This window comes from Homo sapiens, chromosome 3 (genome assembly GCF_000001405.40).
Source record: "Homo sapiens chromosome 3, GRCh38.p14 Primary Assembly".
NCBI lineage: Eukaryota > Metazoa > Chordata > Mammalia > Primates > Hominidae > Homo > Homo sapiens.
The window spans coordinates 189,461,666-189,483,066 of NC_000003.12; the positions used below are offsets into that span (position 1 = coordinate 189,461,666).

General features: G+C 35.5%; 1 long non-coding RNA gene across 1 annotated transcript; it reads right to left on the reverse strand.

Annotated features, from left to right (window-relative positions):
- Window positions 1-236: 236 nt before the first annotated feature.
- On the reverse strand, window positions 237-16,527 carry LOC105374270 (uncharacterized). Its single transcript, XR_924819.3, has 3 exons — window positions 16,223-16,527; window positions 6,937-7,056; window positions 237-323 (listed from the first exon to the last, which is right to left on the reverse strand). It is a non-coding gene; the product is annotated as an uncharacterized LOC105374270 (long non-coding RNA).
- Window positions 16,528-21,401: the final 4,874 nt, after the last annotated feature.

Consider the following 21,401-nt stretch of genomic DNA (forward strand, 5'->3'; position numbering starts at 1 on the left):
CTTGGTGAACTCAGTATTTGGTCCACACTACCACTTTGCCAATATCAGTGGACCCAGGCTTCTAGTCTGTCCCAGCTCTGTGCCTACCATAGTGGGCCCCAGGCTTCTGGCAGTGCCACCCCAGCTGCAGCTGCCCCAGATTTCTTGTGTGCCCCCGGGCCACACAGGCTGCACATCTGTCTCAGCTTCTATCCTGCTCCAGTGCCTTACCTGCCACAGCAGGCTCCAGGATTTTGACAGCACTGCACCAGCCACAATTGCCCTGTGTTTCTGGTGGGCCCCGTCACCATGCCAGCCACAGGATTTTCCAAGACAAAGCCAGTCTGTGAAGACAGTAATAATTACCTATTTATTCAAATGTGCAAACACTGATATACAACCACAAGGATCAAGAATAATCAGAAAAACATAATATCACCAAATGGACAAAATAAGGTGCCAGTAACTAATCCTAAGGAAATAAAGATATATTAAATGCCTGACAAAGAATTCAAGATAAACATTTTAAGAAACTCAGCTCACTTCAGGAAAATATAGAGAAACAACTCAATGAAATGAGAAAAACTATACATAACCAGAATTAGAATTTAATAAAAATATTGAAATAATAATTATAGTAATAGTAAGATGAAATCCTACAGCTAAAAACTACAATAAACAAAATTAAAAATATATCAATAGTAGAACTGACTGAGCAGAAGAAGGAATCTGTGAGCTTGAAGTCAAGTTATTTGAAAATATATAATCAGAGGAGAAAAAAGAATTAAAAAAAGAAAGCTTACGTAATTTATGAAACATTATCAAAAAAGAAATTTTTTAATCATAGGAGTTAAGGAGAAGAGAAGATAAAGGGATATAAAGCTTATTTAAAGAAATTGTAACAGCAAACTTTCCAAACCTGAAAAAAGTATGTAAATATCCAGATATAGGAAGGTCTAAGGTCTCCAATCAGATTCAATGTGAAGAAAACTACCCCGAGGCATATTGTAATTAAAGAGTCAAAGAACAAAGACAAAGAAAGGATCCTGGAAACAGCAAGAGAAAAGAAGCAAATAACATGTAATAGAATTCTACTACAGCTAGCAGCAGACTTCTCAGCATAAACCTTACAGGCCAGGAGAGCATGGGATGTCATATTCAAAGTGCTGAAGGAAGAAAACTAACAACCAAGAACACTGACAACCAAAAAGACAGCAAAAGCTGTCTTTTAGAAATGAAGAAGAGATAAAGATTTTACTAGACAATTAAAAAACAAGATAATTCGTAACCACCAGACCTCTTATAAAAGAAATGCTAAAGAGAGTTCTTCAGAATCAAAGAAAAAGACACTACTGAGTAAAACTGAAACATCTGAAAGTGTAAAACTACCTGGAAAAATTAAGTACGCAGGCAAAAGCAGAATGCTCTAATACTTGAATGGTGTTGAGTAAATAACTTATATCTTCAATATAAAGGTTAAAAGACAAAGATATTAGAAATAATGGCTAAAATAATTTGTTTAAAATACACAATATGATTTAAATTCACATCAAAAATTCAAAATGTGTATCAAGAAAGCAATACCATATTAATAGCTACAAAAATACCTGGGAATATATTTACCCAAAGTAGTAAGCAATCTCTAAACTAAAAACTAAGCTACTGATAAAAGAAATTGAAGACACACAGAAAAAATGGAAAGTAGCCCATACTCATGGATCAGAAGAATTAATATTATTAAAATGTTCTTACTACCCAAAGTGATCTACAGATTCAATGCAATCAGTATTAAAATATCAGTGATGGTCTTCACAGAAATTAAAAGAAAAATCCTAAAATATATACAAAACCACAAAAGGGCCTAAATAGTAAAGGCATTACTGAGCAAAAAGAGCAAAGCTCAAGTCATTACACTATCTGACTTAAAAATATACAGCAAAACTATAGTAGCCAAAACAGCATGATATTGGCATAAAAATGAACACATAGAGCAATGGAAAAGAATAGAGAGTCCATTAAGAAATGCAGCCAGGTGATTTTTGTTAAAGGGGCCAAGAACAAACAATGAGGAAAGTACAGTTTCTTCAATAAGTAGTGCTAGGAAAACTGGATATCCATATGTAAAAGAGTTAAATTAGACCCATATCTCTCACCATACTGAAAAATCAACTCAAACTAGATTGCAGTCTTAAATATAGACTCAAAATTATGACGCTACTAGAAGTGTGAAAAAAACTCCTTGACATAGGTCTCAGCAATGACTTTTTGGATATGCCCCCAAAATCACAGGCAATAAAAGCAAAAAAATAGACAAATGGGATAACATCAAACTAAGGAGCCCCTGGAGAAAAGAAACAATCAATAGAGGGAAGAGACAGCCTATAGAATGGGGGAGAATATTTGCAAACTGTATAGTTGTTAAGAAATTTACATCCAAAATACATAAAAAATTCAACAGCAAGAAAACAACTCAGTTGAAAATTGGCAAAGAAACTGAATAGACATTTCTTAAAGGAAGATATACTAATGGGCAACAGGTATATGAAAAAAATTACCAACATCAGTAACGGGGATGCAAATTAACACCACAATGAGAAAATTCTATTGAAGTAGAAAGTAGCATGTTGGTTACCAGGAGCTGAGATGGTTAGGGAGATGTTGATTAAAAGATGCAAAACTTCATTTAGACAGAAGAAATAAGTTCAAGAGAACTATTTTACAGCATGGTGACTGTAGTTAATGAGATATTGTATTCTTGTAAAATGCTGAGAAGAATAGATGTCAAGTTTTCTCACCACGAAATAACTATGTGCCAGATTTAGTCATTCCACAACATATGTGTACTTCAAAATATTATGTTGTACACAGTAAATACATATAATTTTATCTATCAATGAATGAAATAAAATTTAAAAAGAAACTTTTAGACAAGTATTTTTTTAAATAAAGCATACAAATAAAAAGATGTTGAAATGCACCTTTATAAAAGCAAGAGAACAAAACAAATTAAATGGTGAAAGTTAATCTGTGTAAAAGATTAAATATTAAAATTATTTAGTTGTGCTTTGGAATATATAAACTTGTGGAAATAGGCCTACTTACATTAGATAAATGTGCATTCCATTTTAGAATGAAATAGATAACACTTTTTATTTTGTAGTATGTAAATTTGGTGAAACTTGTAAATGAATTTTAAAAAGGGACAAGTTATTTGATGGGTTTTTATTTTTAAAAATATTTGTTGAAGAAAAGTATTTTAAATAGAGGCAAAATACAGTATCTGTGAAGTTATGTGGGCTGAAATAACTATATATTTTATAGGAAATAGAATAGAGAATATCCCCGAGTTAGCGAATTTTTCACTGAGCTTATCACATTTTTCAGCTGCTATAGAGTATTTTCTCAATAATGTCTATAATGACAATTAAATGGAAAATTTCAGATATTTCAAATTAATTGTAGAATGCAACTTTGAAGAAATATTTCAGACAGTTGAAAAAATTAAAATGATAAGATCACAGAAAAAAATACATTCTTCAAAAAAGAATGGCATTCCAGTGCTATGGTATTAAAAATAGATGAAACTAACAAAATTAGTAAAGTTTGTGAACATATTCAAATAGTCATTCAGTTAAGTGATTCACTTCAGATAATTAATATAAAGTTCTTTTCCCCACATATGTATGTGTTTTTATATATATATATATATGCTACTTTAAATTTTAGAATGACTTTTAGTTTTGAAAATATATTTACATCCAAAATATATAAAGAACTCAATAGCAAAAAGAAAGCAATTAAAAAATGGACAAACAACCTGAATAGACATTTCTCAAAAGAAGACATACAAATGAGCAACAGGTATATGAAAAAATTCTGAACATCACTAATCATTGAAAGCTCTATTTTTAGGCACGTCAATACAATATAGCTAATTTATGGTAATTATATAAACATTTCAAAAACATTTATAATTATTTTTAGCTCCCCTTTTACTGATAAAATTGTCCTATATTATTGCAAACACTACATGATCACCCTAGATATAGCATAGGCACTTGTCAGTATTGTTGTTTTGTATCCAGAACAAAGGCTACAGATAAAACACAGTTAGATTTTTTAAAGCATAGGGAAAATACTACAAGGGATATTTTTGAAGTTCCAAAATGGTTATACCAGGTGGTAGAGAACATGAATTTTTTTCCTAGGTTTCATTTATCATGTTATTGAGATCATGTTATTATCACAAGGAACAATTATGCTAGAGAAAAACAAACAAATAATAGGAAGCATTGAACTTCCTGGAGAAAGGACATAGGAGGCAGTATCTTTCATCTGTCAGTGGGGCTCTGAGGGCAGCAAGGGTAAAGATGCACGCACAGCATGCCAGCTACCTCTACATCTGAGCACATGTGCCTCTCCAGCATCTGTCACAGCATCAGCTGGTCAAAATGTTCTTTCCTTCCCCTCCAGACCTAGCCAAGGTAGCACTGACAAATAAGGTCAGATTTGGGGGCTGAGGTGAGTGAAGCATTTTATATTTATATCCATGTACACACGCTCCTGTGTATGTTCCAGTGACTTCAGGGGACTTTCCACAGCCATGGGTGTCATGTCCAGTGTGAGGTAACTCTGTCTGGCCCAGGGAATTCTCTGGACACTAATCACTAGGTTAAGGATTGGGTTCCAGAGTTTATGGATTGATGCTCAATAATACTTCTATCTCTTCTGTGCTATCTGGTCATTATGACAGTCACAAATATGCAGGATTTTTTGGTAAGGTGTTTTGTTTTGTTTCTTCTCTCTCATTGATTGTTGGCTCCAAGTTTGAGGAAGCAATGAATATACTGGTTTAATGACTTCCAGCTTGGGCATTGCTCCTGCTTTTATGGATGATTATTCTGATTAGTTACTACTAGGCAAAATACACATAGAATATAAATAAAACACCTAGAGGACTGCCTGGCACAAAATAACTCATAGATAACTTCTGTACTGGCTTTAACACTTTATGAAACAGCAGACTTCCGCTCTAGACGGAGGAGTTTCAGTGGAGACAAGAGGGAGATCTAATATATGATAAAGAATGGTATGAATTAAGATTTAAACATTTAGAAGGCATGTTGGATGCATATTACATGCAACACTGGTTTAGGCTTCAGGAAAAATATGATGAAGAAAATAGACTAAATTTCTGCCCTCAAATAATTTACAGACAAGAAGATACAATTTACCTGAGTTAAATAAGTGTAATGTTGCACATTTTTTCTTTTTCTTTTTTTTTGAGACGGAGTCTCGCTTTGTCGCCCAGGCTGGAGTGTATGGTGCGATCTCGGCTCACTGCAACCTCTGCCTCCTGGGTTCAAGCGATTCTTCTGCCTCAGCCTCCCGAGTAGCTCGGACTACAGGCACGCACCACCATGCCCAACTAATTTTTGTATTTTTAGTAGAGACGGAGTTTCACCATATTGGCTAGGCTGGTCTCGAACTCCTGACCTCGTGATCCGCCCGCCTCGGCCTCCCGAAGTACTGGGATTATAGGCGTGAGCACAGCGCCCGGCCAATGTTGCACATTTTTATCCAAAATCCTAGCTGTACAAGTATTATATGTGTGTGTGTGTGTGTGTGTGTGTGTGTGTGTGTATATAGCCACATATATATATAAAATACAAATGTATATTATCTACAAATATACACATAAACTGGAGTGTGTTCAAAGGAGCTGAAGAAAGTTGAATGACATTCAAGGAGTTGAGTGAACTGTGAGTGTTCTCTCCTCATTAATGTGTTTAGAGGGCAGCATCTGTAACATAGAGTCCTTATTTTCTGCCTTCACCATGTAGTACAAAGGAAGGGTTTCAATGAAATAGAAGCATATAATGGCTGCTGCTGAAGAGACTGTTAGATTGCCCACTCAGTAATCATTTCCATTTCCTTTCTGTTAACGTAATTTGGTTTGGGTTTGGTTTGAGATAGCAACGTGCTCAGAAAAGGTGGTTGCTCAACCTTCAACAGTCTCAGGGGGTAGACCTTGATTACTTTAAGGCTTAGGCTTATGCTGTGCCTTTCCTTTTTACCCCTGATTGGTGTGAAGTGGCACACAACCCTGCTCTGCCCCATAGAAAATGAGGAGAAAGTATTAGGAAATCTCAAATGAAGGAGCTTGAGCATTAAGCTCCTTAAATTCAAAAATTGATTTGAGATCTAAAAGGAGAAAATAACTTGCTATGTGGCCTTGGGTGTATTGCTTAACTTCTCTAGGTCTCAGCTTCACAGTAACATTATATTAATAATTCTTGTCTTCCCTAATTAGCAGGGTTATTGTTGGTATTACGGACAGTAATGGATGTTAAAGCAATTTCCAGTTTAAATGCATATAATATGTAAATTGTTACTATTAATTTTAATTACTTTGAAATATTTAAATTAAAAAGTGATATAAAATTAAATTAGTAATGCCATAAAAATATATGTTAATATGACAACCCTAGCGAAAAATGCTTCTTCCCTAATAAAACTTAAACATAATTGTATATAAGACTTCCTATGCATTTATTTATGCATACGTATTTCATTTTCCTTTCCTTAATTAATTTTCTTTAAAATCCATATAGAACTTTGGAATTACATATTTAATAAAGTTCAATGAACTAGTGTTTGTAAAAAAACTTGAGACATTCCCTTCTGCTCTTTGAGAGCATAATAACAAAGGCAGTAAGTACAGATTCAGACGCTTTAACAATACATTCATTTTGTTATAAAACAATTTCAAACACATAAAAATAACATAATAATCACAACACCCACTATACATATTTAACAAAGGCTGATTAACATATTTTCTTCAAATGTCTTTTTAGAACAAATAAAATATTACAGATACATTCAAAGTCCCTTTGTACCTATCTTAGTCAGTTTGGTCTACTATAGTAAAGTAGCATAACATGGGTAACTTACAAAAGTAGAAATTTATTTCTCATGTTTCTGGAGGCTGTGGATCTGAGAATAGGGTGCCAGCATGCTCGAGTTCTGGTGAAGGCTCTCTTTGAGGTTGCAGGCTGCAAACTTCCCATGTATCTTCACATAGCAGAAAGAACGCTAGTTAGCTCCCCAGCCTCTTCGTAAAAGACACTAACCTCATTCACGAAAGCTTCATACTCATAAGCTAATTACCTCTGAAAAGCCCCCTCCACCTAGTACCATCACCTTGGGATTAGGGTTTCAACATAGGGGTTTTGGGGAGACACAAACATTCATTACATTGTAGTGCCTTTCTCAATTACACTTTGCAGTGTGTGTATACAGTTTCAGATCATATTTTACACTTTGCTTATGTATCTGTGTATAACATAGGGTATTAACTAAACTTCTCTAACATATACATTAACATTAACAAAACACAATGGCTCAAAGTAAATTTGAGTTTATTTCTTTCTCAAATAACAGTTCATAGGGAGGTAGAAAGTCCAGGGTGGGTAATCTACTTTGACTCATGAGATTCTGTTGTTTTACAATCTCCTAAGGCAGTGGTTTTGTGAATACAATGTGAGAGCTTCGAGGTCCTGTCTGCATCCCCTTCCTTTTTCCAACTATACATCTGTGTGAGGCCAAATTTTCTTCATATCCTTCAACAAAAATAACATTGCTATAGATTGAAGAAACAAATATTAGACTTCACTTGTCTTAAAGTAAGACATTTAAAAATTTGTGAAAATATAAACAATGTCACTATTTCAATAAATTTTTAGTTATTTTTGATAAAATGATATGCTAATATAAAAGTTTATTATAGTTTTAAAAATTAAATAAATACATATTTTAATATCACTATTGTAATGTTGAATACGGTAAATATCAATAGATATTCCAACATTAGTAAAAGGTCTTTGAGGTCCTAAATAGTCAAGATAGGAAAATATATTGTCTACTTGGTGGCCATGTCTAGCTAAAACTCTTTTTGCTCTGTAAAAGGTAGAATGAATTTAGGGAAACAACTAGCAGTTCAATGCAACGTGTGTGTCCATAAACAATATATGATATTTGTGTGCTTTAAAAATTTACCTGAATAGCATCTTTCTCGGTACATCCTCCTATATATCACTTTTTGCTCAAAATTATGTCTTCAAGATATATCCATGCTAACACATTGGTCTAGTTTATTCGTTTTAACTGTTGAATACTATCATACTGTAGGATTATACAACAATTTATTTGAACATTTATTTAATTGGCAGATACAGAAGGTTTCCAGTTATTCACTCATGAGAGCAATGCTGCAATAAACATTATTTTGCATATGTCCTTGTATAAAATGAGAATGTTTCTTTAGGTAATTAAAAGTTACGTTCTGTGGTGTAAGATATACATGACTGTGTTATTAAATGTTATTAACTTGTTCTCCAAAGCAGTTGTGCCAATTTGCAAACCCACACACACAGCATGAGAATCTCTTTGCCCTCTGTTTCTCCTTTTTGGGTTATAATCTTGTCAATAAGATGGTAGGAGAATTGAAAGTTACTGTTGTTTAATTTGAATTTCTCACTCTAGAAATTAGAATAGATAAAAATAGTTATGATGGCAATCAAAAGAACACTTGAAAACAGTGATTACATAATTCAGATTTAGTTTTCTCACATAAGAAGTGTGGAGTTAGATAGGTGCTAGCATTGGTTTTGCAGATCATTAATGTAATCAAGAAAATTAGGCCCAGCTATCTTTCTGCTGAATTATCCTAAGTATATTATCTTTTCCTCCTCTAGCTTATCGTCTAATGGTTGCAACATGACTGCCACTACATTACTTAAATGTTCAATGTAAAAAAAAAAAAGGAAGGAAGATGGTTCTTACATTCTCCTTCTAAATTTGTTCTCTTTTATCAAATTTAGCAAAGAAAAAGTCCCTAATCTCTACCCCAGCAGACTTTTTCAAATGAAGTTTTTCCCGGAACTGTGCTAATTTGCCAATGTTGACACACTGTTCTTGTATCTTTAAATAAATGACATAAAAGACAAGGTATAGCCCTCATATTTATTTTTATATCAAACTTAGCTTTTCAAGAATCTTAATTCTTTAATGTACTTGTATCAACTTATCACATTTTATTTTCAAAATTCATTTGGATTCTTTTATTAGGGTTGCATTTTTTAAACATCTGGGATAAATGTATAGCTTTACAACCTTGTAAACAGCAAGCAATTGGATCTTACTTTTAAAAATCAACCTGACAATCTTTGCTTTTTAATTGAAGCATTTAATCCTTTATATTTAATGTAACTATTGACAGAGCTGTGTTTTAAGTCTACTATCTTGGTCCTCTTTTCTTAATTCTATCTTAATTTTTTCATGCTTTTTTTTTGGTATTTTGTTTGTTTTTCAATATGGCAGTTTTATTTTTTCTTTCTTTCTTTCTTTTTTATTTTTTTGAAACAGGGTCTTACTCTGTAGCCCAGACCAGAGTGCAGTGGTGCAATCTTGGCTCACTGCAACCTCTGCTTCCCAAGCTCTAGTGATCCTCCCACCTCAGACCCTGAGTAGTTGGGACTATAGGCACATGCCACCATGCCCGGCTAAAACAGTATCATTGAAATTCATATTACATACAATTTACCCACCTAAAGTGAATAGTGCAATGGCTTTTAATATAATCACAGAATTGTACAACTATTACCACAATCTATTTTAAAATATTTTTATTACCCCAAAAAGAAATTCATTAGCAGTCACTCCCCAGTTTCCACTTACCCCTCACTCTTATCCCTAAGCAAACATTAAACTGCATTCAGCCTCTATAGATTTGCCTAATCCCAACATTTTACATAAATGGAATTGTAATGCAGTGGCTCACACCTGTAATCTCAGCACTGTGGGAGGTTGAGGCGGGCGGATAACCTGAGGTCGGGAGTTCAAGACTAGCCTGACCAACATGGAGAAATGCCATCTCTACTAAAAATACAAAATTAGCCAGACATGGTGGCGCATGTCTGTAATCCCAGCCACTCGGGAGGCTGAGGCAGGAGAATCGCTTGAACCCAGGAGGCAGAGGTTGCAGTGAGCCAAGATCGCACCATTGCACTCTAGCCTGGGCAACAAGAGTGAAACTCTATCTCAGAAAAAAAAAAAAAAAAAAAAGAAGGAATTGTAAAATATGTGGTCTTTTGTAACTGGGTTATTTAACTTAGCATAATGATTTCAAAGTGCATCTATGTTTTAGCATGTATTTGTACTTTGTTTTTCATAGGTGAATAATAATATTTCATCATATAGCTATACCATATTCTATTTATTAATTCATCAGCTAATAGGCATTTGAGTTGCTTCTACTTTTTGGCTATTATGAATAATGTTACTATGAACATTCAGGTACAAGTTTTATGTAGACATATTTTTTTTTCTCTTGAATATATATACGTAGAAGTGGAATTCCTGGGTCATATGGTAACTCTATGTTTGACCTTTTGAGGAACTGCCAGATTGATTTTCTCAATAGTTGTGTCATTTTATATTCCCACCAGCAGAGTGTAAGGGTTCCAATTTCTCCACATCCTCACCCACACTATTTTTGTCTTTTATATTTTAGCTCTCCTAGTGGATGTGAAATGTCACACCCTCTTTTGAGTAAATAAAGTATATGCAATTAAGTATATAATACATCGTTATTACTATTTTGGCCCTATAAAAAATGATAAAAGTAAATTCTTTCAGGGAAAGGGTAACTATACCAGATGGAAGCCCACACCTTCAGGAAGAAATGAAATGCATCAGAAAGATATATATCTTTTAAAAAATGAAAGATCTGCATTTTTTATTATGTAATCATTTATATCTATATTTGTTCAGATGACTATTGACCATTTAAGGAAATAATAATAATAATAATAATGTACTCTGAGTTTTGCTGCACATATAGAAATAAATTTAAAAACTACAAAGGATGCTTATCTTTATCTATGACAAGATCCTTCACTTTCTGCTACTCTATGAGGCATGGAAATAGGAATGATTCTCTTTTATTCTAGTAAGAATTTTCATTTACTTTATTTTGTTCCTGGTAGATCATAAAAACTATGATTTTGTAGTTTATATGGCTTCTTCTATCTGTTAAAGAGTTTTGAGTTTCAATATTCTAACCAAAAACAGAAACCTATCATTCAATTTTAATACTTTTAAAATTACTATTTGATCCATAACTTACCTTGAAATGTGTTTTTTAGTTTGTTCATATAGGGGGGTCTGATGTTTCTGATATTTATTTTTAAATTTATTGCACTGTATATAATATTATATGAATGTTTAAAAGTGTTTTTTTGTAGTTGACATTACTGAGAAATAGTACGTAGGCCTGGAGCTCCTACGTATTATTGTTTCCACAAAGATATAGTCTGCCTAAAATGAAGCCAACATAGAACTTAAAAGAAAGGAAGGTTTAATTATATTTTCCCCTAAGCCAATCTGCTCCTAATGTCTGACTTAAACTTTTCAGTTGTAAGACTATTATTTCTCATTTTTGTCTTACACTAGTCTGGGTTGAGTTTCTTTTGTTGTGTGCAACCTGACTAACATAGAAAACACGAGGAGTTCACTCTGAGATATATTGAGTTTGTGTTGTGATAGAACACAACCAGAAGATGTAAATTCAGAATAGGGTATCAAGAAAGGGTTCAGAGCCATAGTGACCTGGGGCTTGCTAGCCCTGACCCTGTGTTAAACTAGTGCTAACAGTCTTCATCCTCTGAAGTCAAAAGCCTCCCTTTTGTTATTTTAGACACGTAGAAATTAATCACTCTTCTATCTGCTTTCCTTACTCGGGAACTTTTGTTCCAAGCAAAACCTTACGTAAAATGTCTCTCTAAGCCAATATTCACCTTCGGAAGGCAATGATACATTATTGGCTGCTTGATATAATCAAAAACAAGAGATAGTACTCTGGATTTGGTGGCTATTCTTTCAATTCCCTGGCTATTGCCAATATTTAACAAACAAAATTGGCTTGCCATAGTTACCAGGAAATGAGTGTCTATGCACATTCATTTCAGGTTGCATGGTACCATATACCTGAATATGCATATGCCAAAAGATGCCTTGGTGTTTGCAACCTGCAGCACTTACAGGAACAGCCCCACTATAAATGGTCATTTTTAATTATAGCCTGAATTTCTTTAAAAGACAGCCAGAGAAATGAAAGCTCTCTGCCAGAAGACTTTTTGTTTTCAATACGAATGTAAAGAGAATGAATCCATGAACAGGTCACTTCAGAGAAGTTTAAAATAAGCCAACCTTCCCTTGCAGTGGCCTTTCTGTACACCACCTCTTTTCTGTCCTGTTGGCTGCTGCCCTTTGCTCAGGCCATCATTTCCACTTATACTGTTAGTAGCTAATGTAGTTGCTTCCAGCTAGCATAACAAATCATTCAAACTGAAAAGAGGGTTTTTTCAATAACTCTCACCATTTTGCCAATGGTGAAAGTAAAGATATAAGAGATCAAGTTATTTCCCCTAGATTATATAGATAATTTGTTTCAGGGCTCAGACTTTCCAGTACAGCATTTGATGGTTATATGGTATTTTGACTTTTTAAACACTACTGTTTGAATTCAGCTGAATTAGTCATGCTAGGCTAACTATTCTAATAACAACCCTACATTTCAATGGATTAACAGAATAGAAGTTTATTTCTTCATTATATAAAATTCAAGGATGGTGACTTTTTATGTTGTCATCCAGGAACCTAGGTTCTTTTTATCTTGTATCTCTGCTAGGCTCTATGTCCTCATAATCCACTCCTTTTGGTTAGAAAGGGGGAAAAGGGAGCATAGGATTATCTGTTGGAAGTTTATGAGGTATTCTGAAAGTGGTACACATACTTTTGCCCATTTTCCATTGGGCAGAACGAAATCACACAGCCAAACCAACTTCAAGGGAGGCTGAACAACATGGTCGAGTCATGTGTCTAACAGAAAAAATGGATGTTTCAAACACCTGCATTTGCTCTAGATGCTTTGATTGACCTACTTTGATGTATATATACTTGACTGGCTTAGAAATATTAAAAATATTCACTGTTTTAAAAATGTGCAAGTATATATTAAAATAGATACCCTTAGCCTATACACGATACACAATCCATCTCTGAGTCTTATCTTGAATCAGTTAGAATCAAATTTAACCACAAATAACATGAGCCACAAATAACATTGGCTTAAGCAAGATAGAAATTTATTTCACTCTCTCTTTCTTTTATGTAAAAAGAAGTTAAAATTAAACTTGGAATTGAAGTCAGAGCTGGTAATACTCACCATCGTGGTAATCCAGACTCTTATCATCTTACTTCTAAACTTAGGGTCATTATACTGTAGAATTTAGGGAATAATTAAAAAAAAAAAAAAAAAAAACCCCGAGGTCATCTCATGATCCAAGCTAGTCACTACCATTCCCACCTTCTATTCACATTGCAGGCTGAAAAAAATAAAAGCAAAAAAAAGGAGGGGCTATGTAGATTTCCCAGCTGTCTCTCCTGCTTCCTTTATAGAAACTTTCATGAACTCCCTGTCCACAACTTTACATATATCTCACTGGCTAAACCCTATTCACATTGTTATGGAAACTGAAGTGTTCAGTCTTTCGGCTGAGCACACATTATTGGTCCCAATGATACAGGGATTCTAATAATAAGAAAGTTAAAAATATATTTTCAGTGCATACAGAATTGTAAGTTGACCTTTTTTCTTTCCTTCTTTCACTCAGCACTTAGATACCATTCCTTTGTTCTCTAGTTTCCATTATTTCTGAAGATCAGTCTGTGATAATTCTTATCTTTGTTGCTTTGTATGTAAAGTCTCTTGTCTTCTGGCTGCTTAAAAATTTGTCTTTTTATGCTAGGTTTTTAGCAATTTAATTTTGATGTTTCCTTTGATGGATTTCTTTGCGTTTATTTTGCTTTGGTGCTTATTAAAGGTATTTAATTTGTCTTTACCTATACAACTAACTGTTCCTTTCCTCCCACCAATATTTCAGCTTTATCCCCTTTATGATTATGACACTGAGGGCACATATCAGAGGTGGGATAAGACTGAAGTTTGCGGCAATGATAAATACCTACTCTGGAGTAAAGTAAGGAGTTGAGCATATTATTTGGTAATCAAAGCAATTTGATTTTAATTTTGATAAACGCTGCTTCCCAAGGTTGGTCAAAGGAGCTATGATAACAGGTCCTACTAAAGAACTCATACTACTACAGAAAACTCCTCTCCTTTTTTTTCTTTTCCTTCTTCCTTTAGTATCTATCTATTGAGAACTTACATACCACAAGTTGCACCTGGGAGCTGGTGGTGAGCAAAATCTTCATGGTTCCTTCCTTTATGGACCTCACAGTCCTTGCCTTCCATATATTCAATACCTTTTAACACCATTCCAGAAATAATTATCCTAAAGAGTATAATTGCATACATTTCCCTTAATGAAAAAGATAAGATTTAGAGATAAAGTCTGCATAGTGGTTGAGAACACAGACCTAGATTTGGCTTCTAGCTTCATCATTTACTAGTTGAATGACCTTAAGAAAATTGCTTTTTTGCACCTCAATTTCTTCACCATTAAAATGGGGATGATAATATTTATCTGATAGAGGTATTCTGAATAGAGTTATAAGTGGAACAAAATACCTGGGCTTTATCTCAGCGCGTCACACTGTAGAAAAGCTAGACAACACACCCATCTCACTAAAATAGAAATAACTTAGCATAAATTAATCAAATTATCAAGAATACTGAGTTAAATGCAAAGCTATAATGTGTCTTATATGATTGATAATATTCATCTATGAGACACATGAATGAATGCATTTTGAATACACGTCTCACTTCTTGCTTGCTATGTAGAATTTGTGGTAAGGATTAATGAGCGACAGACAATCCCATGATCCCTGATCTCATTGTTCATACCCTTAGGTAATCCCATCCCCTTGAGTCTGGGCAGGAACAGTGACTTTATTCTAACAAACAGAATATAGCAGAGGTGATCTATGACATGGTTATATTACATTATATAAAACTCCAAGTTTCTAGTGGACTTGCACAACAGACTGTTATTGTAGGTTTAATAAAATAAGCAGCTACGATGATACTATGAACTGTGGGGACCTCTAGGAGCAATGGGCAATCTCCATCCTCTAGCCAACACAAAAAATGGGGTACTCAGCCCTATAAACACAAGGAAATAGATCTGGCCAACTACCTGAGTGAGCTTGGAAGTAAATTGTTTCCTAGTCATGCCTTCACTTGAGAACACTGCCCAGCCAACATCTTGAATCTGGCTTTGTGAAACCGTGAAACCCCAGATAAGCCATGACCAGATTCATGACCTATGGAAACTATGAGATAACATAGGAGATAATGAATGTTTATTGTTTTAAATCACTAAATGTGTGGTAGTTTGCTATGCAGCAATACGTAACTAATGTTTGGCATGGAAAAAGCACGTACAAGAATAATAATTTTAAAAATTATTAAAAACACACAAAGTTCAAATTCTTAGTATGCCATTTAAGATTATTCCACTAGGTTCATTTTCCTAAGTCCTAAGCTTTAAACCTACTGGAATGGGCAGATCACTTGAGTCCAGAAGTTCAAGACCAATCTGGCCAACATGGTGAAACCCCGTCTCTACAACAGATAGAAAAATTAGCCGGGTGTGGTGGCATGCACCTGTAGTCCCAGCTACTAGAGAGGCTGAGGTGGGAGGATCACCTGAGCCTGAGAAGGTCGAGGCTGCAGTGAGCTGTGACTGTGCCACTGCACTCCAGCCTGGGTGACACAGTGAGACCCTGCCTCAAAACAAAACAAAACAAAAACAAAAACAATAACTAGAGCCCACAGATACCCCGGATCCCTGGTATCTGAGCAGTATGACCTTTCTCAGGGTGCCTTTCTCAGGGAAAGAGAGGGTTCTTTGCCCATCTGTCCCTCCCTCCAGAAACACTATCCAATTCCTAGAGTACTTGCCAGAATCGAAGTCATAACCAGGAGGTGGCAGGTTGGGGAGCTGAGCCCAGCCTGTTGTCTAGTAAGGTACTTTGTCTTCATCACCACTTAACTGCTGCCAGATAAGTCAGTGACCAGAAGAGTCCTTGGCCAGCCCCGTCCCATGACCTTGGCCCTGCCGCAGAGAGGGATCCCTAGCACCACCATAGATACAGAGAGGATGCAGCAACTCCCCCTCCCCTCCAGAAGCCCAGGTAGCTGTACACCTACCTGTCCCGTGTTTATCTCAGTTGCTTGTCGGGGGCAGAGTCCTCATCTGCCATGTGGACATCTGAGACCAGCTTTCTGAGTACCTCAGCCAGTCCCACAGGCCTGCAGGCCCCAGGTGCAGAAAGCCAGCTAGCCCACAGCTCTCACATCCCATAGGGGTTATGGGGTTTTTACACTTAGAGAAACAAACCCCTTTCTCCTTTGAGCCTCCTTTTCCTCTGAGCTGTGGATAGTTTTGACCCTGTAAATATGGTCAAGCTCTTCTGACACTGAGATGATTTTATCAATTGTCTGTCCCCTTACCTGTAATATATACCTGTAATATAAACATAAAATTCTCCGTGAGTGGTTTCCAGATTCAGGCTCCAATGGACCACATAAAAGTATTTTGTTTTGAAAAACAAAAACAAACAACAACAACAAAATACAGAAAGCCATACTGAATTATTTGCTATTTCTGAAATATTTCCAGATATCTTGACTTTGTCCATGGCTGTTTTATTTACCTGAAATGCTTCACTCTCTTTTTTTCTTGAGATGGAGTTTCACTCTTGTTGACCAGGCTGGAGTGCAATAGCACAATCTTGGTTCACTGCAACCTCCACCTCCCGGGTTCAAGCGATTCTCCTGCCTCAGCCTCCCAAGTAGCTGGGACTACAGGCATGTGCCACCATGCCTGGCTAATTTTTTGTATTTTTAGTAGCAATGGGGTTTCACCATGTTGGCCAGGCTGGTCTTGAACTCCTGACCTCAGGTGATCCACCTGCCTCAGCCTCCCAAAGTGTTGGGATTACAGGTGTGAGCCACCACACCTGGTCTTCACTCTCTTTTTCTTTAGCTGAAATTCCTTTCAATTCTTCAAATTCTATTTTAGGTTCTATCGACTTCATGGATATTTTCTAAGTATACTGGCTGTAATTAATTTTTTTTTCTGTGTTCGCATAGTATCTAGTTTTCACTGTTACCATAACTCATCACATTGTCATATCATGAGTTGAATTACACTTACTGTAGTTTATATTTAACTACTTTTAAAAATAAAATATTATTTCAATTATATATGACATAGTTTTAAACAGATTTAGTAACTTAAGGATTCTCTGAAGATAACTAAGTCTCTCCTTGAAGGACTAAGGTTTAAGCTCAGTTTTTCAGATTTCTGATCAAACACTCCTGCTCTGGCTTCTCTCTAAAATTACATTTGGATGTATGGCAAGGAAAAAGAAGTAGCTTTAGTAATATAATGACTATAAGAGCGGCACGACTCAATGTAATATACCATGTATTCATGCTGATGTGATCAGTGAAGCAAAATGGCCTGTGCTTCTCTTTGCACTGGTGATAATTAAAGTATGACTGGTCCTGTCTGTTTTTGACGAGGAAATATGCTGGTCTCTGAAGATTGCCTCTTCCCATTTAATTTCTTCCTGATAACCTCTAGAACCCCTTCCCAAAGTAGGTAGATTCTTCCTACAGAAGTTAAAGAAGTAGGAGTGTTGCTTAGGATATTTTTTGTTTACACTGTTGGACACCATCTCCTTGTCATTGCTCCTGTGCCAATCACTACAATACTGACGGTGGTGCTCAGCTGAAGGCTTCAGTTTTTCTAGGGGCTTTTGTCTCCTCCATGATCTTTACAAGTTATATCCCAGAAGCTCTTCTGTTCTTAGGCTCCACCATACAGTGGGGTGTTTCTAAAACCTCTAGTAATTGCCACTAAGTTTCAGATTCCAATAGTTAAGTGGAAAAATAAGAACACTGATATCTCACATTGTACCCCTTCTGCTATCTCACTTCTTTTTCTCAAAGTACCTTTGGTTAAAAGATTTTCTCCTTCATCTACTATCTTTCTTCTAAGTAGAGCACTGAGCTTCACCCCATAGGCAAATAGCTAACTTTCTCAGTACTAGAAAATGAAATCCTCTGAGCCTGGTGTTTGTGAGAGTAAATTGAATTTTGAAAGTTTAGATTTATTTTCAAGGAAAACATTTACCTCAAAATTCTGTTTTGGAGAATTTTTCTTCCAGGTCCAAAGAAATAACTAGTATGATATTTGCCCTTCTACCATACACAACTATAAACTAGAGAAAATGCATGAAGAAAATATTTTCAGATATTAAACCTCAGACAGCACAGGAGTATGACCCCGAGAGAAAGGAAAACAATTTGGTGAGCCTACAATATGCCCCACATTTATGCCTATGGGCACTTTCTTGACCATGGTTTAGGGAAAGAAGATCCAATCAGAGAACAGTCTTTCTGAATTAAGGAGACAGAAATTGGAATTCTGGAAAATTGAGGTATCTACAATTTGTGGAGCAGATTACTTGAGGTGTTAGAACAAGGCAGAAAATCCTTCAAGAAATATTCAGGAGGATTCCCTCAAGTCTGTGCTTTACATTTGTAGGTGCAACTCCATGAAGCTTGAAAAACAATGACTGCAAAAACTCACAGAGGTCAAGGATAAGTTCAGCTTCTACCTGACCAAAGCAGAGAATTTGCTGAACACATTGGCCATTCGTTAGAGACTGCAGAAAGTCATGCCTTAGTAGTAAGGCTAAAGTAGTACTAGAAAAAAGCTCCTTACAATTTTCCTAACAAGGTTTTAAAACAATTATTGAAAAGTTCAAGCTGATTCATAAGTAACTTAACTGCATGTCAAACCAAACTTTAAACTCTTTAAAGTTTTAAGAAGTTCAATCAGCCCACCTAGCACTCCGATCTTGATTTCTAAATAACTTTCTCCACTTTCTGTTTTAGTTCCAGCATGTAAAGAGCTTGGAAGTCACCGTTCTATCCTTAAAAAGGAGAAAGCTACATAAATGGAAAATCAGTGACTTTCCTTGGGCCCTTCAGAGAACTGAGATTACAGACAAACCACCACCCTGATATGTGGGAAGATAGGTAGGTACATACATACATGAAGACATAGCTGAGATCTGCTTATCTGGAACAGAAATCCCTGGAGCCAAAAACCTTTAGAAACACTTAAATAGCAATTTTAATCAACTGTCGAAGGCTGACTGTAGACTAGCATGAAAGTAAGAAACTCCGGAGTCTTGCAGTCTTATGGAGACCCAAAGACTTTTGTGGGCTTTACATCCAGGAAGCCAAACAGATCCTCATAGTAAAGGTCCAAAAATAAGTCTGTCTGGGGTAGAAATTGTATTAGTTTCTTAGGGTGTAGTAATTGTGTTAGTGTCTTAGGGTATCATTAAAAAGTACCACAAATTGTGTGGCTCAAAACAACAGAAATTTATTCTCTCATATTTCTGAAGTCTGGAAGTCTGAAATCAAGGTGTCAGCAAGACCATTCCTTCCTGAAACCCATAAGGGAGAATCCTTCCTTGATTCATCTTATCTTCTGGTGGTGGCCATCTGCCTTTGGTGTTCCTTAGCTTGTGGCTAATCTTTCCAATTTGTGCCTCTCCATCACATGGCATGGGACTAAGGCCCACCTTAATTACCTCATCTTAACTTGAGTAAATCTGCAAGGATCCTGTTTCCAAATAGGTAATTCTAGTTAGAAACTCAATATATCTTTTTAAGGGGGACATAATTCAATTCATAACAACAATCATTGAGAAATACATTCAGAACCTTAATAACAAATGCACTATTTAGGAGAAAGGATGTTTCCAGGGTCTTATCCCAGCCCTGGTAAATAAATTCCTTCCACTCCAGTGCCTTCCAGCCTTCTTGTCTTACCTAAGAGTAAAAAATAATAAAGTATATCCAACAGGAGTTAGGGCTTTGAGACAGTAGGTTGGAAATGTTGCAGCCAGAGAAAAGAGTATGAAGTAAGGTGAAAAAAAGCTATACTCGTGGAGTAACATTTGTGCAGGTGAAAGTCTTGAGACACCGGCTGACTAAAAGACTAAGATTTAATCAGAGGATTACAGAACCCTTCCCCTCCCACACACCTTACTTCCATGTCAACAGGGCCCCATCCAGTATAACAGTGGTTTACAACTGAAAAAACTGCAAGACACAGATACTCTTTGAAGAGGAGTAGTTGGAAACTCACAGTCAGGAGGGGAGACAAAAATGAGGACAGTAAAGAAACTGGAATCTTCTGGAACTTACAGAACAGCAACTATTAAACACAGCCCAACTTCTAGCCAGCTTAACACAAACCCTCACACTAATGGTCTAACTATCTCAGACTCCATCACTCAATAAAATATATCCAGCTTTCAGAGCATGCCAAAAGGCAAGGCAAAAAATACAGTCTGAAGAAACAAATTATCCCCAGTATGACACATATATCAAAATTATTACATAAAGGACATTAAGAAGCTTTGATTAATATGTTAAGGACTCTAAGGAAAAAGCAGATAATGTGCAAGAATAGATGGATAATGTAAGCAGAGAAATGAAAACACTATGAATCAAAGGGAATTTCTGGAAATAAAAAACACTGCAGCAGAAATAAAGGATGCCTTTGATGGGTCATCAGAAAAACTTGACATTTCACAAGAATCAGTGAGCTTCAAGATAGGCAAATAGAAACTTTCCAAACTAAAATTTAAAAGGAAAAAGAGCAAGAAAGCAAAGCAAAGAAAAGAAAGATCAAATGAACATGTAAGAATTATTAGACATTCTCTGGAACACCAGAAGGATAAGAGAAAACAAAATATTTGTAGTAATAATGGCTGAGAACTTTCCTAAATTAATCACAGGTCCACCAAAGCACAGGAACATCAGAGAATACCAAACAGGAAAAATAAACAAACAAACAAAAATACATCTATAAACACACTAAAAATATTGTATGTAAGCTTCACAAACCAAAAAACAGGGAAAATCTTGAAAGAAACTTGAACAAAAAAGTTCCTATATAAAGGAACAAGAATAATCATTTTAGTAAACTTGCTATTGGAAACCATGCAAGCAAGAAGAGAGTGGAATAATATTTTTAGTATTGAAAAAATACCAGGCCAGAATTCTATATATGGAAAAATTATACTTTAAATATGAGAGAGAAATAAAGACTTTTGCAGACAAACAAAAACTGAGAATTTATCACCACCATATCTTCCCTGAAAGGAATATTAAAAGAAATTCTTTAGGCCATGGGAAAATGGTATAAGTCATTGTATCTTGGATCTACATTAAAAAGGTGCAGTGGCTCCTTAGTGAATTGCTCATTCTGGGTCTGAGAAGGGTAAACACAAAG